The 24,057-nt window shown below is 56.0% G+C and overlaps 2 protein-coding genes across 24 annotated transcripts in view, besides 6 other annotated features; both read right to left on the bottom strand.

The window, feature by feature from the left end:
- The window catches only part of ARMC7 (armadillo repeat containing 7), a 20,304-nt gene extending 18,831 nt beyond the window's left edge, over positions 1-1,473 (bottom strand). For 3 of the 4 annotated variants that reach the window (NM_024585.4, NM_001304273.2, NM_001304272.2), the window contains exons 1-2: positions 1,063-1,473; positions 836-979 (exon numbers count right to left, since the gene is read on the bottom strand). In NM_024585.4, coding sequence (NP_078861.1) covers positions 836-979; positions 1,063-1,153 — 235 coding nt within the window. In that variant the 5' untranslated portion in view covers positions 1,154-1,473. The remainder of the gene's footprint in view (positions 1-835; positions 980-1,062) is intronic. The other variant, NM_001304271.2, reaches the window with a different exon arrangement.
- On the bottom strand, positions 1,293-24,057 carry SLC16A5 (solute carrier family 16 member 5). 20 transcript variants are annotated; one of them, XM_047437027.1, is made up of 7 exons: positions 23,546-23,677; positions 22,138-22,328; positions 17,607-17,853; positions 13,261-13,404; positions 10,626-11,435; positions 7,262-7,472; positions 1,293-1,707 (listed from the first exon to the last, which is right to left on the bottom strand). In XM_047437027.1, the coding sequence occupies exons 3-7, from the start codon at positions 17,803-17,805 to the stop codon at positions 1,293-1,295; spliced, it is 1,779 nt and encodes a 592-aa protein (XP_047292983.1). In that variant the 5' UTR covers positions 17,806-17,853; positions 22,138-22,328; positions 23,546-23,677. The 20 variants fall into 20 exon arrangements, with proteins under 20 accessions (XP_047292983.1, XP_047292984.1, XP_047292982.1 ...); XM_047437028.1 differs by having other exon boundaries at positions 22,138-22,291; XM_047437026.1 differs by lacking the exon at positions 23,546-23,677 and adding an exon at positions 23,273-23,488.
- Positions 1,403-1,482: a silencer, noted in NCBI's record as "silent region_8955". NCBI's record gives its function as "represses an Ori minimal core promoter by ATAC-STARR-seq in GM12878 lymphoblastoid cells {active_cell/tissue: GM12878}" and the evidence as "EXISTENCE:reporter gene assay evidence [ECO:0000049][PMID:35858748]".
- Positions 5,752-6,252: an enhancer, noted in NCBI's record as "H3K4me1 hESC enhancer chr17:73101285-73101785 (GRCh37/hg19 assembly coordinates)". NCBI's record gives its function as "activates a minimal SCP1, AML or CMV promoter by ChIP-STARR-seq in primed H9 embryonic stem cells {active_cell/tissue: H9 hESC(primed)}" and the evidence as "EXISTENCE:reporter gene assay evidence [ECO:0000049][PMID:30033119]".
- Positions 6,253-6,753: an enhancer, noted in NCBI's record as "H3K4me1 hESC enhancer chr17:73100784-73101284 (GRCh37/hg19 assembly coordinates)". NCBI's record gives its function as "activates a minimal SCP1, AML or CMV promoter by ChIP-STARR-seq in primed H9 embryonic stem cells {active_cell/tissue: H9 hESC(primed)}" and the evidence as "EXISTENCE:reporter gene assay evidence [ECO:0000049][PMID:30033119]".
- Positions 17,092-17,664: an enhancer, noted in NCBI's record as "H3K27ac-H3K4me1 hESC enhancer chr17:73089873-73090445 (GRCh37/hg19 assembly coordinates)". NCBI's record gives its function as "activates a minimal SCP1, AML or CMV promoter by ChIP-STARR-seq in naive H9 embryonic stem cells {active_cell/tissue: H9 hESC(naive)}" and the evidence as "EXISTENCE:reporter gene assay evidence [ECO:0000049][PMID:30033119]".
- Positions 17,665-18,238: an enhancer, noted in NCBI's record as "H3K27ac-H3K4me1 hESC enhancer chr17:73089299-73089872 (GRCh37/hg19 assembly coordinates)". NCBI's record gives its function as "activates a minimal SCP1, AML or CMV promoter by ChIP-STARR-seq in primed H9 embryonic stem cells {active_cell/tissue: H9 hESC(primed)}" and the evidence as "EXISTENCE:reporter gene assay evidence [ECO:0000049][PMID:30033119]".
- Positions 23,229-23,758: a silencer, noted in NCBI's record as "silent region_8954". NCBI's record gives its function as "represses an Ori minimal core promoter by ATAC-STARR-seq in GM12878 lymphoblastoid cells {active_cell/tissue: GM12878}" and the evidence as "EXISTENCE:reporter gene assay evidence [ECO:0000049][PMID:35858748]".

Here is a 24,057-nt window from a genome sequence, read left to right as displayed (position 1 = left end):
GACAGAGTCTCACTGTTGCCCAGGCTGGGGTGCGGTGGTGCCATCTTGGCTCACTACAACCTCTGCCTACCGGGTTCAAGCGATTCTCCTGCCTCAGCCTCCCAAGTAGCTGGGATTACAGGCGCCCACCACCATGCCCGGCTAATTTTTGTATTTTTAGTTAGAGATGGGGTTTCACCATGTTGGCCAGGCTGATCTTGAACTCCTGACCTCAGGTGATCCGCCCACCTCAGCCTCCCAAAGTGCTGGTGCTGGTATTACAGGTGTGTGCCACCGCGCCCGGCTACAAAACTGCTCTTTTTAAAACATATTTTTTTGAGACATGGTCTCACTCTGTCGCCCAGGCTGGAGTGCAGTAGCACAATCTCAGCTCACTTCGGCCTCTGCCTCCCAGACTCAAGCAATACCTCCTGCTTCAGTCTCCAGAGTAGCTGGGCCTACAGGTGCACACCACTGTGTGCGGCTTTTTTTTTTTTTTTTTTTTTTTTGAGACGGGGTCTCACTCTTGTCCCCGAGGCTGTGGTGCAGTGGCACGATCTCAGCTCACTGCAACATTTGCCTCCTGGGTTCAAGCTTCTCCTGCCTCAGGCTCACTAGTAGCTGGGATTACAGGCACTCTCCACCACGTCTAGCTAATTTTTGTACGAGACGGGGTTTCGCCATGTGGGCCAGGCTGGTCTCGAACTCATGACCTCAGGTGATCCGCCCGCCTTAGCTTCCCAAACTGCTGGGATTACAGGTGTGAGCCACCACGCCCGGCCCCAAGGACTCACTTCTAATTCACTTATCTCACCCTGGCCCATTTAGGCATCTAGGGAACGGGCCCCGCCCTTACCAATAGCAAACTCCACCAGGGTCTCATTCTCCTCCGACAGCGAATCGAGAAATAAATCCAGGACCTGCAGCTGCCGCAGATACTCGTAGTTGCTGGGGTCATAAGCGAAGTTGGCGAGGTTGGCGAGGACTTGCTCCTTGGCGTCTGCAACGGGAAAGCGGCACTGAAGCCAGGTCCGGGCGGCGGTCACAGCGGACCCTGCCACCTGATCCCACCGTGGCTCTCACCTTGGCTTTGGGTCTCCTGGAATTCCGTGACCAGCGCCTGCAGGTATCCCAGCCGCCCGACGTGGGGGTCCACCTTCGGCTTCTGGGCCATGGCCGCGGTGACGGAGGACCCCCAGGGACGGGCGGGAGGGTGGGAAAGGTGCAGGGGGAAAGCCGAGCGAGACCCTCACCCGCTCTCCACCTGTCTGGAGAGGGAAGAGGGGGTCGGCAAATGGGTTTCTTTCCTGGGTTCAGATTCTGCAGTAATTTGCAGCTGGAAATGGGATATGGGAGATGGGACGGGGTCTCAGAATCCTGTAGGAGTTGCGTTTGAAAATCGAAATTGGGGCGCGGGAGACAGGGAACCGTCTACTGGTTGGGGCTCGCGGAGGGGGCACTGGCGCACCGTCCCCGGCTCCTGGGCTCGGTTCCGGGCTCCCGGCGGAAGCCGCGCTGTCCCTACCCCCGAAGGGGCGGGGCCGTCGCCGAACTCCTTGGCGCGCGTGCGCGGCGCGCTTCTGGTTTTCTGGATGCCGAAGCTCTTTAGCCTGTGCTGGAACCAGCGGCGAGCGGCTTCGCTGAGGCAGGTGCAGGCGTGGGTGGGTGTACTGCGAGGAGCAGCCTGGCCTCCCGTATCCCATGTCCAGATGCAAATTACTGCAAAATCTGAACGCAAGAAAGAAACCCACTTGCCGCCCCCGCCAACAGATGGGCGAGTGAGGGCCTCGCTCGGCTTTCCCGCCCCACCTTTCCCACTCTCCCGCCGGTCCCCCGGGGTCCTCCGCCGTCCCGACATGGCCCAGAAGCCGAAAATGAGACACCCATGTCGGGTGGCTGGAATTCCGCCAGGAGCAACTCAGGAGCGCAGCAGAGTCTGGCAGCACCCATGTTGGAGGACGTCGAGGCAGAAGCACCTCCAGGGTCCCCACGGCTGGCGGGGGCGCGGCCCATCCTCCTTGACCAGGACGCCCCTTTGGAGCGCGGGCGTCAGCTCCTTACGCCCCCCATCAGTCCTTTGCCCCTTTTGCAAAAAGCCTAGCGACCCCGACCCGCCCTCCATCCCAGCCCCGAGGTGGGTCCGCCACCTCTGGACAGAAATCAAAGGGTACTGGGTCATGTCCTGGTGCTTTTTGTCAGCCGGGTGGATGGCGCGCGCCCGGGGCAGCACGGGGGAGCCCGAGGAGGAGCCTTGATTGTGGCGCTTTCGGGGCTTTCTGGATGCTGAAGCCCTTCGGCCGATTCCTTCTCGGAGATTATCAGGAAGCGGGTGTGTGATAGATTGCTCGTGGTTACAGGAAACAAAGCACCAGGGAAGGAGGTGGTCTAGCCACACTCCCATCGCATTTGACAACGTAGGGGTAGAGGTGGCTTAGGCTGTGAGTGTCCTGAGAGTGCAAAAGTTGTTAATCTAAATGGAGTCACTTGTGTTAAAAAACAGAACAAAAAAACCCGGACACAGCCCAAGAAACCCATGACAAGAGGGTTCTCGTGCATAAATACCTGATAATGAAAACTATCACAAAGACTCTGCAAAAACCACAACCTTGCACAAAGGGCGTCACAACCTTGCACAAAACATACTTTTGAATGGCCATCTGCCCAGCAACCGCTTGTCCAACCTTGAGCGGTCACCCTTGTTATTAATCCTTCTACCTAAGGATAAATATTTCAAAACAATTATGTAATCCTATTTTTTCCCTTAAAGCCTGTCTTCCTTTACCTCCCTGAATACCCATATAGTTTACTATGGCATGGATACTACCATTGCAATGCCCTATGCCCAAATAGATATCATTTTCTTTGAGAGAGCCTCTCTGTTATTTAGGCTGACAAAGGCAAGGACCATTATCTTAAGCCCTGGGCCCGGATGAAGGCAGAGTGGCCGTCACACTCCAGCCAGCTGCAGCCCCATTGGAAGCAGGCCTCACCTCTGAGGTTTCAGGTCCTTGTGGTCAGCCCCTGCCCTATGTACACCCTCTGAGGCAGGAGTTTCTAACTTAGTCTGGGTACCTAGGCCCCAGGACCCTCACCAAAGCCCTTTGGCTTCTCTTGGGAGCCTCTGCAGCCTGGGAAGTGCATCTTACCCCTAGGTGCCCAAGGGGTTTCTCTGCCTCTTGCTGGACAGAGCAGCAAATAGGAGCCCAGAAACAGGGAGGATGGAAGTAAGCTCCATCCCTCCCTGCCCAGGAACTGCCCCAGACCTTCTCTAGAGGTTCGCAGGCAATCAGCTAGATGGGGATTGCTGAATCAGATGGGCCACCCCATCTTCCCTCATTGGTCTTCTCCCTTTTTTTCTTTTTGAGATGGAGTCTCGCTCTGTCGCCAGGCTGGAGTACAGTGGTGCGATCTCGGCTCACTACAACCTCCGCCTCAGATTCAAGTGATTCTCCTGCCTCAGCCTCCCGAGTAGCTGGGATTACAGGCACGCACCACTGCACCCAGCTAATTTTTGTATTTTTTTTCTGAGACAGTGTCTCGCTCTGTCACCCGGGTTGGAGTGCAGTGGTGCGATCTCAGCTCACTGGAAGCTCCGCCTCCCAGGTTCACGCCATTCTCCTGCCTCAGCCTCCTGAATAGCTGGGACTACAGGCACCCGCCACGACGCCCGGCTAATGTTTGTATTTTTAATAGAGACGAGGTTTCACCGTGTTAGCCAGGATGGTCTCGATCTCCTGACCTCGTGATCCACCCGCCTTGGCCTCCCAAAGTGCTGGGATTACAGGCGTGAGCCACTGCGCCCGGCCTAATTTTTGTATTTTTAGCAGAGATGGGGTTTCACCTTGTTGGCCAGGATGGTCTCGATATCTTGACCTCGTGATCCACCTGTCTCAGCCTCCCAAAGTGCTGGGATTACAGGCATGAGCCACCGCACCCAGCCAGTCTTCTCCCTTCTTAAGGCCTCAGGGAGGGGCCCTCCTTGGGGTGGAATTCTCAGCCCTTGGTAGGTCTTACCTCTGCCCAGTCTCTGGCACACAGTAGATACTCAGTAAATATTTATTGAAGGAATTCTGCCCAGAGATGATTGCTATTCTTGCCTAGGAGCAGGTGAGATGAAAGTTTCCTATGCAGAACATTCATTGATACCTTTTTTTTTTTTGGGAAGGGGGGACAAGGTCTCTGTCACCCAGGCTGGAGTGCAGTGGTGTGATCACAGCTTACTGCAACCTTGAGCTTCTTGGCTCAAGGGATCCTCCCACCTCTGCCTCCTGAGTGGCTTGGACTACAGGCCTGTGCCACCATGTCCAGCTAAGTTTTAAATTTTTTGTAGAGATGGAGGTCTCCTTATGTGGCCCAGGGTGGCCTCTCAAGTGATTCTCCCATCTTGGCCTTCCAAAGTGTTGGGATTACAGGCATGATCCACCACACTTGGCTTTTTTTTTTTCCCTTTCCTTAATTTTTCTGTAGAGACAGGGTCTCTATGTTGCCCAGGCTGGTCTTGAAGTCCTGGTCTCAAGCGATCCTCCTGCTCTGACCTCCCAAAGTGTTTTTTTTGTTTGTTTGTTTTTTGAGACGAGTCTCATTCCATCACCCAGGCTGTAGTGCAGTGGCGTGATCCCAGCTCACCACAACCTCTTCCTCTCCAGTTCAAGCAAATTTCCTGCCTCAGCCTCCCAAGTAGCTGGGATTACAGGCGACTGCTACCACGCCTGGCTAATTTTTGTATTTTTAGTAGAGCTGGGGTTTTGCCATGTTGGCCAGGCTGGTCTTGAACTCCTGACCTCTAGTGACCCACCCATCTTGGCCTCTCAAAGTGCTGGGATTACAGGCGTGAGCCACCACACCCAGCCTTTTTTTTTTTTTTTTTTTTAAAAAAAAGACAGGGTCTTGCTGTGTTGCCCAGGCTGGCCTCAAACTCCCAGGTTTGAGTGATCCTCCCACCTCAACCTCCCGAGTAGCTGGGATTACATGTGCGCACTGCCATCTCCAGCTGATATCTTTTTTCTTTAAATGTTTTCAGGAAGTGGGCTCATTACGGGATGCACACAAAACCTGGTGGATACTAGCACCAAAAGCACCTATCTACCAGCCCCACCTCCCTCCTTTTCCATTCAACTGAGATGGAGCAGACAGGATTTGGCAAAGTCCATGCAAGCACTCTCCCTTCAGAGCATGTGGTATTGATGGCAGCCAAGTGTAAGACTGGGTGGGGAGCCAGAAGGAAATGGAGTCGTCAGGATGCTCACCGAGTCAGACTTTTCAACCGGAAGAGACTAGCTCATCCAAACCAACCTCCTACGTTTTCTTTTTTAAAATTAAATTTTATTATTTTGCTCTAACAAAGTAACCTCCTACTTTTTCAAGGCTCAGAGGTGGTCAACAATTTGCCCAACTCACATGGCAGATAGTGGCGGAGTCAAACAGGGCACTCAGGTAGGGCTATTCCAGCCCAGAGCCGTTTGCTTGGCCTGCAGTACCGCCTTTGGCCATAAGAGCCACTCATGGCTGGTCCTGGAGGAGGCAGGACATCCCCAAAGATGCTTATTGACGCCAGCTGGACGTGGCTGGCGGGAAGACTGGCACCTGTTCATGAAAATAAAATCTCCTGATAAGGTTTTCTTGCGGAGCCTGGTTGAGCCTGAATCAACAAACAACATCCTGAACCTGAGCACCCCTTGCTGAGCTAGGAGGAAAGGAAGGGTGAGGGGAAACGTACTCCAGCTCTGTTTGTCAGCTTCATTAGTTCACAGAGTTTATGACCTGCTGCAGGGAACATTTTTGTGTGTAATTCAAACACATTCTGTTTTATCATTCCCTCGGTACCCTGCTGGGACAAGAATGGGCTGATGACAGCCAGCCCCTGGGTGGTGACTTCAGGGAAAGGCACCAGCAAGATGTGTGTGTGGGGAGCTTGGACCGCCAGTCACAGGCACAGGTGTACGGGGAGCAGGGGTGAGTCCAGCCAGCCACTTACCCCAGGGTTGACACCAATAACACGGCAGGGAAAAGGGGGGCCTCTGGAGGACAGGAATGGGGAGTAAAAGAGCTTCCCTTGCAAAAGCAGCCCCATTTTCACAACAGTCTTCGGGCTGCCTGGCAAGCCTTCCTCTCCCGTCAGTCAAATGTCTGGCTTCCCCCACCTGGCACTAATCCTCCCCGCCAAGGAGACAGGGTGGGGAAAGGAAGGAGGAAGCCCCTTGATAGAGCAGGTCCTGCTGAGACTGCAGGGGGGCCCTCAGACTTCACCGATTCTAGGATCCAAGCCAGGGGCCCCCCTCCCGTTCTCTGCACAGGCGCCAGGATGGGCGCGCCACTCAACTCCTCAGCCTGGACCTCTGCACTGCCCAGTGCGAGGCCCAATGACCTTCACTGGGGGCAGCTGCACCACCAGCCTTGGCTGCCCTACAGGTGAGGGCTGGGTCACTTGGGAAGAGCAGGGCAGGAGGAACCTAGAGGAAGGTGAGCTCTTCAGAACGGTATGGAGGCCAGAGAAAGACAAAGAGAAATGATAGAGGCATCCAGGCTGGACGAGAAGGTCCAGTGCATTGAGCTGTAGGAGCAGCAACACACAGCCAGCTGCGCTGAGCCGGCTGGGACAAACCTGAGCAGGGCTCAGACCCAGGTTCCTGGGCCCCGAGTACCCTGGTACCCAAGGAAAAAAGTCCGGAGGGCCTGCTCCTGGATTCCGCTAGTTGTTAGAAAAGGGTTCCTCTGGCTGGGCACGGTGGCTCACGCCTGTAATCCCAGCACTTTGGGAGGCTGAGGTGGGCAGATCACCTGAGGTCGGAAGTTGGAGACCAGCCTGACCAACATAGAGAAACCCCATCTCTACTAAAAGACAAAATTAGCCGGGAGTGGTGGCGCATGCCTGTAATCTCAGCTACTTGGGGGGCAGAGGCAGGAGAATCGCTTGAACTTGGGGGGCAGAGGCAGGAGAATCCCTTGAACTTGGGAGGCAGAGGTTGCAGTGAGCCGAGATGGTGCCACTGCACTCCAGCCTGGGCAACAAGAGTGAAACTCCGCCTCAAAAAAAAAAAAAAAAAAAAAGAGTTTCTCAGGGCATCTTCAGAGGCCAGCCTCCAAAGTCCCAGCTCCTGGCAGAGTCCCAGCTTGCAGAGCCTGGACAGCCCGGGCTTCCTGGGCTACTCTTCACCCAAGCCCCTGGTGAAGGAGCTAGAGGTCCCCCTCCTGGGCTGGGCTGAGACAGTGTTCACTCAGTGATCCCAGGACTCAGACACTGGTCACACAGATGAACCCTGGGTCTTAGACGCTGGTTACATACATGATCTCAGGGGACCGTTGCTTCCCAGGACCGTCTTTGGCTTCCAAGAAAAGATCCCGCTCCAGGGCATCCGCCGCGACAGCCTGCTTGCCTTGCTCCTTCTTCTGCAGGGCGTAGAAGCTGCCACCCATGAAGAGGGCAGCTGAGATGAGGAAGAAGCTGGACATGTAGAAAACATAGCTAAAGTTGTTGGTGGCGTCCAGGAGCAACCCTGGGGAACAGAGATCAAGTTAGGCCAGTGCTACCAGGCCTCCCCCCAACTCAGCTGTGTGTTCCCTGACAGCAGGTATTTTATTTTTGTCTCTGCTGTACTAGGAATTGTGGCTGACACCCAGTAGACACTCAACAGATACTTGAAGAATGAAAGGAGGGGAAGAAACACAACCTCCTCTGGCCTGGGCAGGAAGAGTCCTCAGGCTGCAAGAGAACTTAAGGGCATGTGGTGGTAGGGAACTAGTGGAGTCTGGGATATTTGCTCACCCACCCTCCAGGTCTCACCTATGCCTCCTTCTGAAGAGCTCTCCCCACTTGTTTGCTTAAAGAATTCCCTTGGGGCCTGACACGGTGGCTCACGCCTGTAATCCCAGCACTTTGGGAGGCTGAGGTGGGTAGATCACAAGGTCAGGAGTTCAAGACCAGCCTGGCCAAGATGGTGAAACCCTGTTCCTACCAAAACTACAAAAATTAGACAGGTGTGGGGGCAGGTACCTGTAATCCCAGCTACTTGAGAGGCTGAGGTAGGAGAATCACTTGAACCTGGATGGCAGAGGTTGCAGTGAACCAAGATCGTACCACTGCACTCCAGTCTGGGCAACAGAGTGAGACTCCATTAAAAAAAAAAAAAAAAGAATTCCCTTGGATGGGCACAGTGGCTCACGCCTGTAATCCCAGCACTTTAGGAGGCTGAGGCAGGTGGATCACGAGGTCAGGAGTTCGAGACCAGCCTGGCCAACATGGTGAAACCCTGTCTCCACTAAAAATACAAAAACTAAGGCAGGGAGCGGTGGCTCACACCTGTAATCCCAGCACTCTGGGAGGCCGAGGCCGGCAGATCACGAGGTCAGGAGTTCGAGAACAGCCTGGCCAATACAGTGAAACCCCATCTCTACTAAAAATACAAAAATTAGCCGAGTGTGGTGGCACGCACCTGTAGTCCCAGCTACTCTGGAGGCTGAGGCAGGAGGATTGCTTGAACCCAGGAGGCAGAGGTTGCAGTGAGCTGAGATCACGCCACTGCACTCCAGCCTGGCAATAGAGCGAGACTCTGTCTCAAAAAAAAAAATTAGCCGGGCGTGTGGCGCGTGCCTGTAATCCCAGCTACTAGGGAAGAGGAGGCAGGAAAATTGCTTGAACCTGGGAGGCAGAGGTTGTAGTGAGCTGAGATCACACCATTGCACTCCAGCCTGGATGACAGAGCGAGACTCTGCCTCAAAAAAAAAAAAAGAAAAAAGAATTCCCTTGGAAACTGGGCCTTCCAACGCCACACTTGGACGGAGTCCCCATTGGGCTGAACTCAACCTCCCGGATCTACTCTAATAACCGCCGCCTTGTGTTGTCTGACTGCTCCCCGGTACCGAGGGCTTTACAAACCTGCCCTCATTTGCTCAGAATCTCACACTCTCAGCTGCCTCTCACGTGCACCTCTACTTCCCTATTTGGTTTCCCTCGCATCATAAATCACCAGGATGGTTGCTGATGTGTCTCTTTGTTTTCACTCCTGACTCCTGCCCTAGAAGGTAATCCCCCAGGGGATGGGGACCTTTTATTTTTTTCGAGTTGGAGTTTCACTCTGTCGCCCAGGCTGGAGTGCAGTGGTGTGATCTTGGTTCACTGTAACCTCCACCTCCCGGGTTTAAGCAATTCTCCTGCCTCAGCCTCCCAAGTAACTGGGATTATAGACGCACACCACCACACCCGGCTAATTTTTTGTATTTTTAGTAGAGATGGGGTTTCACCATGTTGGTCAGGCTGGGAATGGAGACCTTTTGATCCCCATGCACACCCAGAGGCTGGCAGAGGTGAATAAATGATTAGGGCAGGTGCTCTCGTCTGCATTTTGCAGATGGCACTGTGGCTCAAAAAGGGAAAAAGACTTGCCTGGGTCCCACAGGCAGGAAGCAGGAGAACTGGGATGATCATTACAGGAAACTCTGCAGGATGCTGACTGCACACCAGACTCTCTCCTAAGCTCTTTCCTTGGAGGTAGATTCTATTTATCCCCACTTTACTGATAGGAAAAAGGAAGTGGCCAGGCGCAATGGCTCACACCTGTAATCCCAGCACTTTGGGAGGCTGAGGGAGGCAGATCACTTGAGCCTAGGGGTTTGAGAGCAGCCTGAGCAACATGGTGAAACCCCATTTCTATAAAAAATATAAAAATTAGCTGGGTGTGGTGGCATGTGCCTGCAGTCCCAGCTACTTGGGGGGCTGAGGTGGGAAGATCACTTGAGTCTGGCAGGTTGAGGCTGCAGTGAGCTGTGATTGCACCACTGCACTCCAGCCTGGGTGACAGAGCAAGACCTTGTCTCAACAAAAAGGAAAAAGGAGGTACAGGGAGGATGATGGAGGACTGAGGTTTGGTACACAAACCCATGCTTTTTTTTTTTTTTTTTTTTTTTTCAGATGGAGTCTCACTCTGTCACCCAGGCTGGAGTGCAGTGGCGTGATCTCAGCTCACTGCAACCTCTGCCTCCTGGGTTCAAACGATTCTCTGGTGTCAGCCTCCCAAGTAGCTGGGATTTACAGGTGCCCGCCACCACACCCAGCTAATTTTTTTGTATTTTTAGTAGAGATGGGGTTTCACCACGTTAGCCATGTTGGTCTCGATCTCCTGACCTCGTGATCCACCCGCCTCAGCCTCCCAAAGTGCTGGGATTACAGGCGTGAGCCACCGCACCTGGTCACAAACCCATGCTTTTTTTTTTTTCTTTTTGAGGCGGAGTCTCGCTTTGTTGCCCAGCCTGGAGTGCAGTGGCGCAATCTCAGCTCACTGCAAGCTCTGCCTCCTGTGTTCATGCCATTCTCCTGCCTCAGCCTCCCGAGTAGCTGGGACTACAGGCGCCCATCACAACGCCCAACTAATTTTTTTGTATTTTTAGTAGAGACGGGGTTTCACCATGTTGGCCAGGATGGTCTCGATCTCCTGACCTCATGATCTGCCCGCCCCGGCCTCCCAAAGTGCTGGGATTACAGGCATGAGCCACCGCGCCGGGCCAAACCCATGTTTTTAACTGTTCATACTCTGAGTGCCAGGTTGGAAACCAGCTGTAGCACAACCTCTGGAGATGCTGGACTGGGCCCAGATCTGTCTAAACTGTTCCCCTTTTACCACACTATCTGGCTGCCCTCCCTCCCAGCTCCTCACCGGCCAGTGGTGGGGAGATGAGGAAAGCAAGGCCGTCCAGGACAGTGAAGAGTCCCAGGGCTCTGGGGAACTGATCCATGGGGACGATGTCCATGAGAACCTGGAAGATGAGGGCGCCGATGCCACTCATGGACACGCTGTACGCCAGGCAGTAGCCCACGAGCACCCAGAAGTCACCTGATGCCGCACACACCAGGTTAGTGAGCCCATTGAGCAGGAGTGCCAGGCTGAACAGGTACTTGCGGTGGCTAGCAAAGGCCGGCCGTCCTGCCATCAGCCCGGCTAGGGGCCTCAGGAAGATGTTGCTGAAGCCGATGATGGAGATGAGGAGGGCTGCCTGCTGCTCGTCCACGCTGTGCCACATGGCATATGGCACCAGGAAGACTTGTGGCAGTGGGAAGCCCAGGACGGACCACATCACACCCAGTATGTACACGCAGTAGCCTGTGTTGTGCCGCAGGATGTCGAAGGCCAGGTGGCGCTGGATGGTCCGGCCGCATGCAGCCAGGCAGCCAAGTGCAGGTGTCTCGGGAGGTGGCGGGGGACATTCTTTGGTCTCAGGGGCCACACTGGTGGCCACAGGCCTTATGATGGCCCCGCAGATGCAGCAGTGGAGAAAGATCCCGCCGAAGACAAGGAAGGTACCCCTCCAGCCCAGGTTCTCCAGAAGGTAGCGGGAGAGCAGCGGCCAGAGGGTGATGCCCAGGGAGACGCCCATCGAGGCCAGCGCGTTGGCCAGCACCCGCCGGCGGACAAAGTAGAAGCCCAGCACCGTGATGCTTGACTGGAAGCTGAAGCACATGCCCAGGCCTGCGGGGCAAGAGGGGAAACCAGCCTGGAGGCGCACTGGGGCCTTCCACCTGCACCCAGGGGTGGGGTCAGTGGTCATTTCACACACCTGCCCTCCTCTGGTTCTAGTCCATACCCAGCTCCAAGTCCCTGGGGACTGACCATGGAATCAGCTGGCCTCGCCACCTCCCTGTAGGCACCCCACCCCAGATCTGCCCTCCCAAGGCTGCCAGGGCATCCCTGTTCCCCTAGGTGTAGCACGAGAGTTATCTTTTAAAAACCCAAATTGGGCCGAGCGCGGTGGCTCACGCCTGTAATCCCAGCACTTTGGGAGGCCAAGGTTGGCGGATCACTTGAGGTCAGGAGTTCGAGACCAACATGGTGAAACCCCATCTCTACTAAAAATACAAAAAAATTAGCCAGGCTTAGTGGCAGGCGCCTGTAGTCTGTAATAGCTACCTAGGAGGCTGAGTCAGGAGAATCACTTGAACCCGGGAAGTGGAGGTTGCAGTGAGCTGAGGTTGTGGAGGTTGCAGTGAGCTGAGATTGTGCCACTGCACTCCAGCCTGGGCAACAGAGTGAGACTCTGTCTCAAAAACAAACAAACCCCAAATTGGATTAAGTCTCTCTTGGCTTAACACCTTCCAAAGACTTCCCATCACACTTGACAAAAAATCCACAGTCTCCACAATGCCCTGGAAGGCTCTCTGTGGTCCGGCTCCAGCCCGCCTCTCAGATGCCATCTCAGGCTGCTCCCTGTCACTCATTAGGATCAAGACACAGGAACTTCTTTCTCTGCCTCTGGACATGAAGCTGCCCCTACCTCGGGTTATTTGTAGCTGCTGTTCCTTCTTGGAATCTGCTTCCTCCAGACTTTCCACTCTCCTCTCAGTTCAGACGCCACCTCTCCAGAGGGGCCTTCCCCGCTCCCCACCCACTCAGTGTCTGCACCTGCACACCTGAGCATGCTGGAGAAAAAGTTCTCAATCATGTGTGACCGTGGCCTCAGGCGGGCCCTCAGGCTGCCTGTGACGCCACTACAGCTCCCTCAATCATGCCTTGCCTGCCCTGCTAGGTGACTACCGGTGTCTTCCTCTGTGCCCCCCAACACCTCCTCCCTATCCTTATGCTCAGCTGCCCACATGCCTGCTAGCCAGTGACAATGGCTTGCCCATTCCCCCAGTGGCTGTCCCTCCCTTCTGCCCTGCATCCTCTCCACTCAGAGGCACCCCTCTAGCAAGTCCCCTCTCTCCTGCATCATCCTTTTTCTCTTCTTTCCTAGATCCTTCTCCTTCGTTATTTCTCCCATTAAAAACAAACAAACAAACAAACAAAAAAAGCCTGTCTTGACCTCATAACCACTTCTGGGTATAGTCTGTTCCTCCAGTCCCCTTAAAACAAAATGCCGTGAAAGGGCTGGGCATGATGGGCTCACACCTGTAATCCCAGCACTTTGTTTTTTGTGTTTTTGAGATGGGGTCTTGCTCTGTTGCCCAGGCTGGAGTACAGTGGTGCGATCTTGGCTCACTGCAACCTCCACTTCCCGGGCGATTCTCCTGCCTCAGCCTCGAGTAGCTGGGACTACAGGGGCCCGCCACCAAGCCTGGCTAATTTTTGTATTTTTTTTAGTATAGACAGGGTTTCACCATGTTGGCCGGGCTAGTCTCGAACCCCTGACCTCAGGTGATCTGCCCGCCTCAGCCTCCCAAAGTGCTGGGATAACAGGTGTGAGCCACCGCACCCAGCCAGCAGTTCCAGAAGATTAAGAGGCCTGCCTGCCCTGTCCACTTGTGCCTGGCACTTTCTAGCAGGTGCCTATAAATTCTGGAGATGAAGTGATAGTCACCTGTGATGAATCCTGCTGTGAAGTAGAGCTGGCTGAGGTTGTGAGAGAAGGAGCTGGCCACCATGCCCAGGCTGGCCAGCACGCCCCCCAGCATCACGGTCACTCGGCAGCCGAAGCGTCCCACCAGGATGCTGCACAGGGGCCCTGTGGGAGAAGACAGCCAGCAGGTAGCAGCTGAATGAGGAGGTGGCGGGAGAGGAGGAGAGTGGCTGGAGAGGGCAGTTCCAGCTGGAACTAGCCAGGTGGTTTCAAGGGCACGAGCAGGCCTGGATTCTGATACCCACCTGCCATGGACTGGCCATGTGGCCTGAGCAAAGCCTGATCCCTCTCCGTGCCTCAATTTTTTCCCCTACAAAGTGAGGATTCAGAATGGGCGATGTTTGACCCTGATGAGGATTCCCTGAAAGGTGGAGCAAGACCCTGAACTACACAGACCTGAGGCTGCTCATTCTATCCGGGTGAAACAGGATTGGTTCATGAGTTTACCTCCCCCACTTCGCTGGGGGTCTGTTGGTGGGAGGAGTCGGGGCAGTGTTCCAGGACATCTAGACTACAGTGTGCACCTTCAGATCCTGTTTTACCTGCCCCATCCCCACACCCAACATCCTCAGGAAGACTGGCTAGATCCCTCCCACCCTCCCACCACCTTCCCAGCCCTACAGCTGAGGGGAACCCTGGGCCCCTCTGCGCCTCCTTGCACTGGCCTCTGCAGACAATCAGGCAGGGTAGGTTCTCCCCTCCCACACCACCTCCAGCACCACCAAAGTCTGCACCTAGAGGTTTGGCTCAATGTGGAGGGGGGCCTGTTCCTTGCCTGGCTCCCAGCTGCTTTCTCACCAATCCACACCCCAAAAAAATAGAAAAGAGCTGCAGACTGCTCCTTGGCACCTCACAGGGGCCCCATTCACCCAAGCACATGTGGAGCTTCTCTAACTTACTCTCCGAGAGTGCAACTAAAGGGACAGGGAAGTGTGTGCGCATGAGATGCTTGTGTGTGTCTGCGGTGGAGGGGGGATGTGTGGTGTGAGCCAGTGTGAGTATAAAAGTGACAGAGTAGGCTGGGTGTGGTGGCTCACGCCTGTAATCCCAGTACTTTGGGAGGCCGAGGTGGGTGGATCACTTAAGGTCAGGAGTTCGAGACCAGCCTGACCAACATGGTGAAACCCCATCTCTACTAAAAATACAAAAATTAGCCAGGCATGGTGGTGCGTGCCTGTAATCCCAGCTACTTGGGAGGCTGAGGCAGGAGAATCGCTTGAACCTGGGAGGCAGAACCCGATGCGCTCCATCCTGGGCGACAGAGTGAAACTACATCTCAAAAAAAAAAAAAAAAAAAAAAAGTGATGGAGTGGCCATGCGTGGTGGCTCACGCCTGTAATCCCAGCACTTTGGGAGGCCGAGGCAGGTGGATCGCCTGAAGTCAGGAGTTCGAGACCAGCCTGGCTAACATGGTAAAACCCCATCTCTACTAAAAATACAAAAATTAGCCAGGTGTGGTGGCGCATGCCTGTAATTCCAAGCTACTAGGGAGGCTGAGGCAGGAGAATCGCTTGAACCCGGGAGGTGGAGGTTGCAGTGAGCCGAGACTGTGCCACTACACTCCAGCCTGGGTGAGAGAGGGAGGCTCCATCTCCGAAAAAAAAAAAAAAGAAAAAAGCAAGTGACAGACTAAGTGAGCAGCCCGTCGCAGACATAATCAAGCAGAGGCTGGTGGCCCGGCGTCTCTGCCCCTGTAGAGGGGGAGGTGGCTCTGGAGAGGACTGACCCACAGAGCTTCCTCACGCCAGAGACTCTGGCCTGACTTAGGGAAGTTGACATTGGGGAAAGCCCTTAGTCACAGGGGTGGGGGTGGGGACTGGGCTGCAGGCCAGAGCTGCATAGCTGAGGGTGGTGTGGCCGGGCGGGACACAGGGTGTTTCCTCTGCCGTGAACTCACTCTTCAGCCTTGGGCAGGTCTTGTGTTCTGTGCCTGCTTGCTTTCCTTACCTCTAAAAGGCGTAGGTAGGGGCAGGGGCACTTGAAAGGATCAGTGAAAGTATCCATGATTCATCGTGTTTAAAAATTTCTACAATACTGTGGTCAGGTGCCGTGGCTCATGTCTGTAATCCCAGCATTTTGAGAGGCCCAGGCAGGTAGATCACTTGAGCCCAGGAGTTTGAGACCAGCCTGAGCAACATAGTGAGACCCCGTCTCTACAAAAAGTAAAAAAATTAGCTGGGTATGGTCTGGGCGTGGTGGCTCACACCTGTAATCCCAGCACTTTGGGAGGCCAAGGCCAGCAGATCATGAGGTCAGGAGATCGAGACCATCCTGGCTAACACGGTGAAACCCCGTCTCTACTAAAAATACAAAAAATTAGCCAGGCATGGTGGTGCGCACCTGTAGTCCCAGCTACTCAGGAGGCTGAGGCAGGAGAATCGCTTGAACCTGGAAGGCGGAGGTTACAGCGAGCTGAGATTGCACCACTGCACTCCAGCCTGGGCAACAGAGCGAGACTCCATCTAAAAAAAAAAAAAATTAGCTGGGTGTGGTGGTGCACACCTGTGGTCCCAGCTACTCGGGAGGCTGAGGTGGCAGGATCGCTTGAGCTTGAGAGGTTAAGGCTGCAATAGGCTGTGATCATGCCACTGCACTCCAGCCCAGGTGACAGAGTGAGACTCTGTCTCAAAAATAAGCAAATAAATAAATAAACATAAAATAAAATGTCTACAGTACTCTGAATGAGCACGGGCTCATACACGTGTATGTGTACATGAGAGAGATGGCCAGCCAGGAATCCCATGCTGATGGAGATGCTGAGATGCCTGCTGGGGGTGGTGAGCCGCAAGTCAGCTGGGGAGTAGGTTCCCCGCCGGGTGCCCGGTTCCTAGCCCCTGGCCCAGGAACCCTGCTCTGCCTGTGTGAGAAGCAGCCCTCTGGGATTCCCACTCCCTGCCCCAACCCTGCAGGCCAGAGGCCATGTGGCAGATTCAGAGCTCACCCAGGAGGGTGGCGCTTTCTCCGAGCCTCACCTCCCTCCCAGTTTGAGGGCAGGACCTGGAATAATAGGCAGGCTGCTGGTGGCAAGTGGAGGGAGTAGCCAGGAGGTAGCCGGGGAGATGGGCAGCTGCGGCCAGCAGACACACGCCTGCAGAGGCCTGTGGGCCATCAGCTCGGGCTGCTGTCCACCGGGCCCCTCCGAGGCCGGGGTCTCTGCAGTCTCCCTGGAGAGCTCCCAGGAGCTGAGGGCAGGTCCCTGTGTCCACGGCGACTGCAGAGAACCCTCCCTCTGCCCTGCTCCCAACGCTGGGGTCAGGGTGAGGCAGTCACACTCCTGGAAAAGCCAGCCAGGAACATGGGCCTCTGAGGCCTATGGTGACAGAGCCAGGAGAAGGGGCAGACAGGGGCTGCCTTCCTCCCTCACCCCCACTTAGCAACCTCCTCTCTGCAGGGAGTCCCGGGAGAGCTGGGGCTCCTGCCTTGTCCCCCTCTTGTTCCTGGTGTCTTTTTTTTTTTTTGAGACAGTTTCACTCTTGTTGCCCAGGCTGGAGTGCAATGGCACCATCTCAGCTCACCGCAACCTCTGCCTCCTGGGTTCAAGAGATTCTCCTGCCTCAGCCTCCTGAGTAGCTGGGATTACAGGCACCCGCCACCACGCCCAGCTAATTTTGTATTTTCAGTAGAGACAGGGTTTCTCCATGTTGGTCAGGCTGGTCTCAAACTCCCGACCTCAGGTGATCTGACCGCCTCGGCCTCCCAAAGTGCTGGGATTACAGGCGTAAGCCATCGCGCCCGGCCATTCCTGGTGTCTTCCTTGCGTCCCCTTTCCTATCCTGAAGCCACTCCCTGCCCTAGTGAGGGTCTCCAAAATATTAATAATTCACAGCCGCATACATTTCCCAGCTCCCAGCACCTCCAGGGAAGACAGTGGTCTTCCCTGCTATTCCATGTGGGAGCTGGGCAGGATGCCGGGCATCACCCTCAGATTGCAGAGGAAGCAACCGAGGTTCAGAGAGACCAGCCAGCTGGAAAGCAGGAGAGTCTTGGTGGGCTGGCCCCAGCGCTCTTCCCAGCCTGGCACTGAGCGCCCCAGCACACCTACGCCTGTGTCGGAATGGATCCCACAGAAAGGACGCAAGGCTCCGCCTGGCTTTGCAACCCAGGCACCTCCCCACTCTCTCCCCGGCTCCAGCCCAGTCCAGCTGGATTCCAGCCAGGGGCCCCTGGTGAAATCTGGTGAAACCTTAGGAATTCACCCAGGAGGCAAAGCCTGTGGCCTCAGAGAGAGGGAATCAGAAGGCCAGGGAGGTTGTGGCTTCCCCGCAACCCCTAGGACTTTCTCATCGGCCCCTCCCTAGGCCGCTCACCTGCCATGTGGAGCACAGCCGTGAGGATGGAGGGGAACCAAGAGGTCTCGCTGTTGCTGGCCTGGAACTCCCATTGCAATTCAGTGAAGAAGATGCCGATACACGTGGGGAAGCCCAGGGTGAGGCCCTGGGTCACCATGGTGGCCAGCAGCACCACCCAGGCCCAGCTGCCATCTGCACGCTCCAGGGCCTGGGGCATCCTCTGCTGCCGACGCTGCCACGGCCTCACTGCCAATGTGGCTGCTGCCTGGGGAGGGGACAGAATGGAGCCTGGTGGTCAGCAGGCTGTCCGTCTCTCCTGGCCCACCTGCCACCTTCTCTGGGCAGCTAAGCCATCCCTTCCTCATACCCAAGTACCAGGTGTCACAGAGGGGCACCACCCCTGGGAGGTGGCCAGAGGCCCACGCGTTGGCCTTGGCATCTCCTTTCACCCACTTCCCAGAGCCAGCCTGGCAGGAGGTGGCAGGAAGGACAGGAGGGACAGGAGGGATAGGAGGGACAGGACGGGGCAGGGCAGGTGGCACCAGGCAATGGGGTACAATTGTCTCTAATTGTTACATCACTTAGAAGTCAACAGGGGGACCTCCTAGCCCACTCAGTCACTACTTGTAGAATGCAGCAGACCTCTGGGGTCAGTGTAGTCCCAACGCCCCCCAAATGCACCCAAGGATACACCCTCCTGCCCAGGGTTCCTGCATACAAACACAGACTTTCGCAATGCCTCAGAAGCAGCAAAGTTACTATTGGTGCTGTTGTGAAGGCCTGAGTGAGCAGGCCGGTGCTAGGAGCAGCCACAGAGCATACACAAAGGAGTTTAACAAGCACCCAACCAGCAGCTTTGGAGAAAGCATGGGCCTCATCCACCCCCACACCCCCAGGCCTTTCCCATCGGCCCCTTTGCAGTTACCCTGCAACACTCCTTTCAAACAGAGCTCAAGGCCAAGACTCAAGTTCCGCAATCACACTGAATAATAAACACACACACACACACACACACACACACACACACACACGCAGTGGCACACAGACACAGACACATACCCAGTCACACACAAACACAGTCACAGCGCACACTCACACAGACAAGCACAGAAACATACAGACACACGCACACACACAGAGACACACACTTGGATAGTCACACACACAGAGATCCACTGACCCACACAAAGACCACACGGGCACACAAACTCATATAAAGACACACACTTGGCCGGGCACGATGGCTCAAGCCTGTAATCCCAGCACTTTGGGAGGCCGAGGCAGGCAGATCATGAGGTCAGAAGATCGAGACCATCCTGGCCAACGTGGTGAAACCCCGTCTCTACTAAACATACAAAAATCCCAGCTACTCGGGAGGCTGAGGCAGGAGAATCGCTTGAACCCAGGAGGCGGAGGTTGCAGTGAGCTGAGATCGTGCCACTGCACTCCAGCCTAGTGACATAGCAAGACTCTGTCTCAAAAAAAAAAAAAAAGACACACACTTAGACACTCAAAAAAGTCCAGAGACACGAAGAGACACTGACAGACACATACTACACAGATGCGTAGACACTCACACGAACACAGAGATATGTACCGTCACACACAATGCAAACATACGAACTCACACACAGAGGCATACAAGCAGGTACACAAGACACACTAGCAGACACACACACAGTTACACACAAACACAGAGAGACACACGCATATGTACACACATGCATACATGCTCAGAGTCACACATGCTACACAGACATACGGACACACACAGTGCAGACATGCACATCTGCGCATGCGTGCACACACACACACACACACACACCCCCCTCACATCTTTGGCTTAGCAAGGTGCAGCCAGTCCTATCTTAGTTCAACACCACCCAGGCCACTCCCCTCATCACAGAAGCTGCCATAACCAGGCCTCCAAAGTCCCAAGGTCCCCTCACCAAGTTTGGACCCCTTTTTCAACCCCCTCCTATCCTGCCTCCTGCGCCCTGGCCCCCCAACCCCCTCAGACCTCACCGCCTGGGGGCTCTAGGCTGCAGCAGGCACTGCGAGGGAGCAGCCTCCACCTCAGTGAAGCCCACGCATCCCGGAGCTGCTGTTCCCACAGCCTCCCTCCCTTTCACCCCAGGTCCTGGGAAGCTCTGGGGAAACTCGGACATCTACCAGAAATATGAAACCCCCTCTTCCTGCCAAGCCCAGCACCCCACTGCTTCCCTCCAGGCCTAGGAGTTTTAAAGCAGCACCTAAGCCGGCTCCACTCTGAACTGCCTCCTTTGCTGTCTCCAATCCTCCGCCCTCCCAGAGGACCCTGGGAGCCCCACCAAGGTGACCGTCCCATTCATCGCAGCCTCAGGGTGTGAGGGTGTGTGACCCATGTGCAAGGCGGAGCACTGCTTGCCCTCCTGCCCTCTGCATGCGACCTCTGGCTAGAGATCCTCCCAGCCTGGCCCTCCTCCTGGCCCAGCTCCAGGCCAGGCAATATCGCAGATGGGGCTTCTCCAGCAAACTAGCCCTGGCCTCTCCCAAGATTTCTGTTCCCTCAGCAAACGGAAAGGCCACAGGCGCCACCTGATCCTCTGTGTTGCCCCGATGTCAAGGTTCCAGCCCTGCTCCATAGCTCGCCTCTCCTCCCCAGCTCTTCCGCTCTCCCACTTGATACTCTCACCTCTTCCTCCCGGAAAGGCCACAGCCTTCCTGGCTTCCTCCTGCCTTTGCCTGTTCCCTGCCACCTAGCCCTGGCACTCCCAGGCCCCGAGGCCCTGGTAGCATTTGGGAGGCCTGGAGGCTGGACCCCAGCCCTGCTCCCTCTCCCCACTGCCTGGCTCTGGTCCCTTCTTGCTCTGCCAGGAAGAAGTCTATGGAGAAGTCTCTTTCTATGAGAAGAGCTCTTCTCAGCATCCACTTTTTGGGGCAGTGTTTTTGGGGACTTTGCCCAGGCTCCTGTGACCTTCACTCTGAATCCCACCTTCCCTCCGGAACCTTTCAGTGGAGCTGGCTGTTCCTGACCATCTCCTCTCTCCAGGCCCCAGGCCAATCCGAGCCCAGGAACCCTTATGCACCTTTGCACACTAGAAGCTCTGCTGCCAGGCCGGGTGCGGTGGCTCACACCTGTAATCCCAGCACTTTGGGAGACTGAGGCAGGCGGATCACGAGGTCAGGAGTTCGAGACCAGCCTGGCCAACATAGTGAAACCCCGTCTCTACTAAAAATACAATAATTAGCCGGGCGTGGTGGGGCTCGCCTGTAGTCGCAGCTACTCGGGAGGTTGAGGCAGGAGAATCGCTTGAACCCGGGAGGCGGAGGTTATGGTGAGCCAAGATCGCATCACTACACTCCAGCCTGGGCAACAGAGTGAGACTTCCGTCTCAAAAAAAAAAAAAAAGAAAAGAAAAGAAAAGAAACTCTGCCACCAAGGTCTGAGGACCCCCTTCCCCCGCCTCTCTGGGACCCCCACTGCAGACATGGCCTTCCCTGTCTCCTCTCCCACTCCCAGTAAGTCCCAGGTCACATACACGGTATGGATGCCCAGTCGGCTCTCCAGCCTCCCCTCCCATCGAGCGGTTTCTCCAGTCAACTGGTCTTTCAAAATTCAGCCCTGCCAGACACGGTGGCTCACACCTGTAATCCCAGCATTTTGGGAGGCCGAGGCAGGCGGCTCACCTGGGGTCAGGAGTTCAAGACTAGCCTGGCCAACATGGTGACACCCTGTCTCTACTACAAATAAAAAACTAGGCTGAGGCAGGAGAATCCCTTGAACCCAGGAGGCGGAGTTTGCACTGAGCCGAGATCACGTCACTGCACTCCAGCCTGGGTGACGGTGAGACTCTGTCTCAAAAAAGAAAAAGAAAAAAAGAAAAAATTCACCCCTTAGGCGGGTGCAAAGGTAGTGAGTAATTTCAGTTAATTGTTCACAGGCAGGTACAGATCGATCTCCTTGTTCTACTCTTTCCCTCCTTCTTACTACCGCTCCTGAGTAGTCTTAAAAGAAGATTCAGCCCTAGCAGCATCCTGGGAGCTAACCTGACTCCCACCCCAGGCTGGGCTGCACCTCCTTCCTGTTTTCTCGCCTTTTTTTTTTTTTTTTTTTTTCTGAGATGAAGTTTCGCTCTGTCTCCCAGGCTAGAGTGCAGTGGTACAATCTCAGCTCACTGCAATCTCTGCCTCCCGGGTTCAAGCAATTCTCCTGCCTCAGCCTCCGAAGTAGCTGGGATTACAGGCACACGCCACTATGCCTGGCTAATTTTTGTATTTTTAGTAGAGACGGGGTTTCACCATATCGGCCAGGTGGTCTTGAACTCTTGACCTCAAGTGATCCGCCTGCCTCAGCCTCCCAAAGTGCTGGGATTACAGGTGTGAGACACCGCACCTGGCCTGTTTTCTCACCTTAATAGTGGTCCTCACACCACACTGGAGTGGATCACCCCCTTCTTTATTGTCACCCCCCACCCTGCTACCCCTTCCACACTATAAGCAAGAACCTGTTCATGAACCCTCACCCAGCCTCTGGCTGAGCACAAAAGAGGAGATGAATGTGACCCACCTGTGTTCCCCAGGGGGCAGGCAGGCCCAGGACCAAGGGCAATGCAGCTTCCAGGCAGGGAGGTCCATTCCAGACTCAAGCAGGGCAGAGAGGTGATGGGGCCAGGGCTCTGGCTTGGCCTCTGCCCCAGCAGGGAAGTGCTCTTTTCTTTGTACTGGGAACCATGAGTCATGGTCACTGCCTGGTGTGTGCTTTGGGCAAGGAGGTAGACAGGGCAAGATGCTTCGCTCTCACTTGCTGGGACTAGGGGTGAGGTTGGGCCCCAGGGGCTGCCAAGCTCAGCTCTCAAAGACCCCTAGGCCCAATGAGACCAGCTTTGTAGCACAGTGCCATGAAGCTGGATGTGTGGGCAGGGAGAAGTTTAGACGATACTTCTGGTCTTTCTCCCATCTCACACAAGCCCAGCCTATGTTTTCAGGGCGCCTCATCTGATAACAGGGGCCTCACTAGGCCCTGGGAATCCTTTCCCTGCCCCTGGAGCTCGAACGCCTGGTCACGGGAGAGCGGATGCTCTCATCCAGGGGTCTCGTGTTAGGGGCCTGGTGTCCAGAGTCGAGGGGGCCTCCTCTTCTTCTTCCCAGCTCTTCTCCCATGGTGGGAGAGCCCCGGGCTGGAAATGAGGCAGGCCCTGGGGACCCCTCCCTCCTTCCCATATCAAGTAGGCTCCTGGGCTGGAGCCCTGGACCCAGGCAGGCAGCAGAAGGGCTCCCGTCCAGCAGAGAGCAGCAAGGGCAGGCTTGAGCTTGGGGCTGAGGAACCCTCAACCCTGTGGTTGGCCTAGGGAGGAGGGAGGCAGCCCCAGAGGTGGGGTGGCTGGGGCAAATCACTCTCTCCCTTCCCCTTATCCCCCCATATTCACTGCAAAACCAGCAAGGGTTTGGGACAGGCAACTGGGACCTCATGCCGTACTCTCGCCCTGCCCATCCCCGCAGTGCTGCCCCGGAATCTGGTTTCCACTCCGCTGTCCCTCCCTCCCCGGGGCAGAGCTCCTCCGAGTTGGGGCTGCTGGGATCCCGGGCTGTGTCCGCCCTGGAATTTCGGGCCAGGAGTCCGAGCGCCCTTGGGCTTGCGGGTCATCACCCCAGGCCCCGGGGCAGCCCAGAACCAGGACAGGAAGACTTTTCTAGATCCTCACCGCCACTGAGCCCGCCCAGGCGGGAGGAGACCTGGGGCCCTGGCAGGAGGTCTGCGACAGCGCTAGAGGGGACTGGGCGAGGAGGGGACGCGTCCGAGGCAGTGGGGCCCGGGGGGCCCGCTCACCCGCTCGCACGGGCCTGGCGGAGAGGTGGCTCAGCTCCCCCGAGCGCGGCGTCCTGCGGCCCGGGCCGGTCGCGACGAGGACCGCGGGACTGGGCCAAGCGCCGCGGCCAGGCAGGGCGGGCCCAGGGCGGTGTGGGCGGGGACCCACCTTCCAGCCTCCCCGGGATTCCGTCGGGTGGGGAAGGGGCCAGGATGCGGGAGGGGCGGCGGGCGTGGCCGGGGACAGTCCAGCAGCAGGGCCGGGCTCCGGACGCAGGCGCCACGGGATATCCGTGTGTCTGAAATTTGCACAACCCGGATGCCCTCTTTCTAGCTTCTGGTTTTCCCGGCTCAGGGTCTAGGGCCCCGGGCTTGGGGCGGAGATAACATGCCATAAAGAGACCACACCTCCCAGGAAGTGGGGTGGGGAAGGCGCAGAGCCCGAGGTTGAGGATCCCTTCTTTCTGCGTTTTCCCTGCCCAGGAGCCCTTCCAATGAAAGCCTCGAGCTTTGAGGGCTGCGCCTGCCGGTGGGAGTCCAGGCAGTCCCTTGTAGGGGAGCAGGCAGACCCCTCAGCCCTGGGAGCAGGTGAGAGGACACCCACCACTTCTGCATGTGGCCCTCAGAACTACAGGCCCTTTTCAGGTTTTTCCCTCTTCCCCTACCTGGGTAGTCCTTGAT

This window comes from Homo sapiens, chromosome 17 (genome assembly GCF_000001405.40).
Source record: "Homo sapiens chromosome 17, GRCh38.p14 Primary Assembly".
NCBI lineage: Eukaryota > Metazoa > Chordata > Mammalia > Primates > Hominidae > Homo > Homo sapiens.
The sequence above is the reverse complement of the archived record's forward strand: the minus strand, read 5'-3'. Positions and strand labels throughout refer to the sequence as shown.

Excerpts from the sequence above, each read along its gene's own strand:
- SLC16A5 (XM_047437021.1), bottom strand. The coding sequence starts at position 18,027 with ATGCCAAGGCCAACGCGTGGGCCTCTGGCCACCTCCCAGGGGTGGTGC. Across the intron at positions 11,436-13,260 it reads CACAGCAGGATTCATCACAG|GCCTGGGCATGTGCTTCAGC; the intron begins GTGACTATCACT and ends CTTGCCCCGCAG. Across the intron at positions 7,473-10,625 it reads CATCTCCCCACCACTGGCCG|GGTTGCTCCTGGACGCCACC; the intron begins GTGAGGAGCTGG and ends TCTGTTCCCCAG.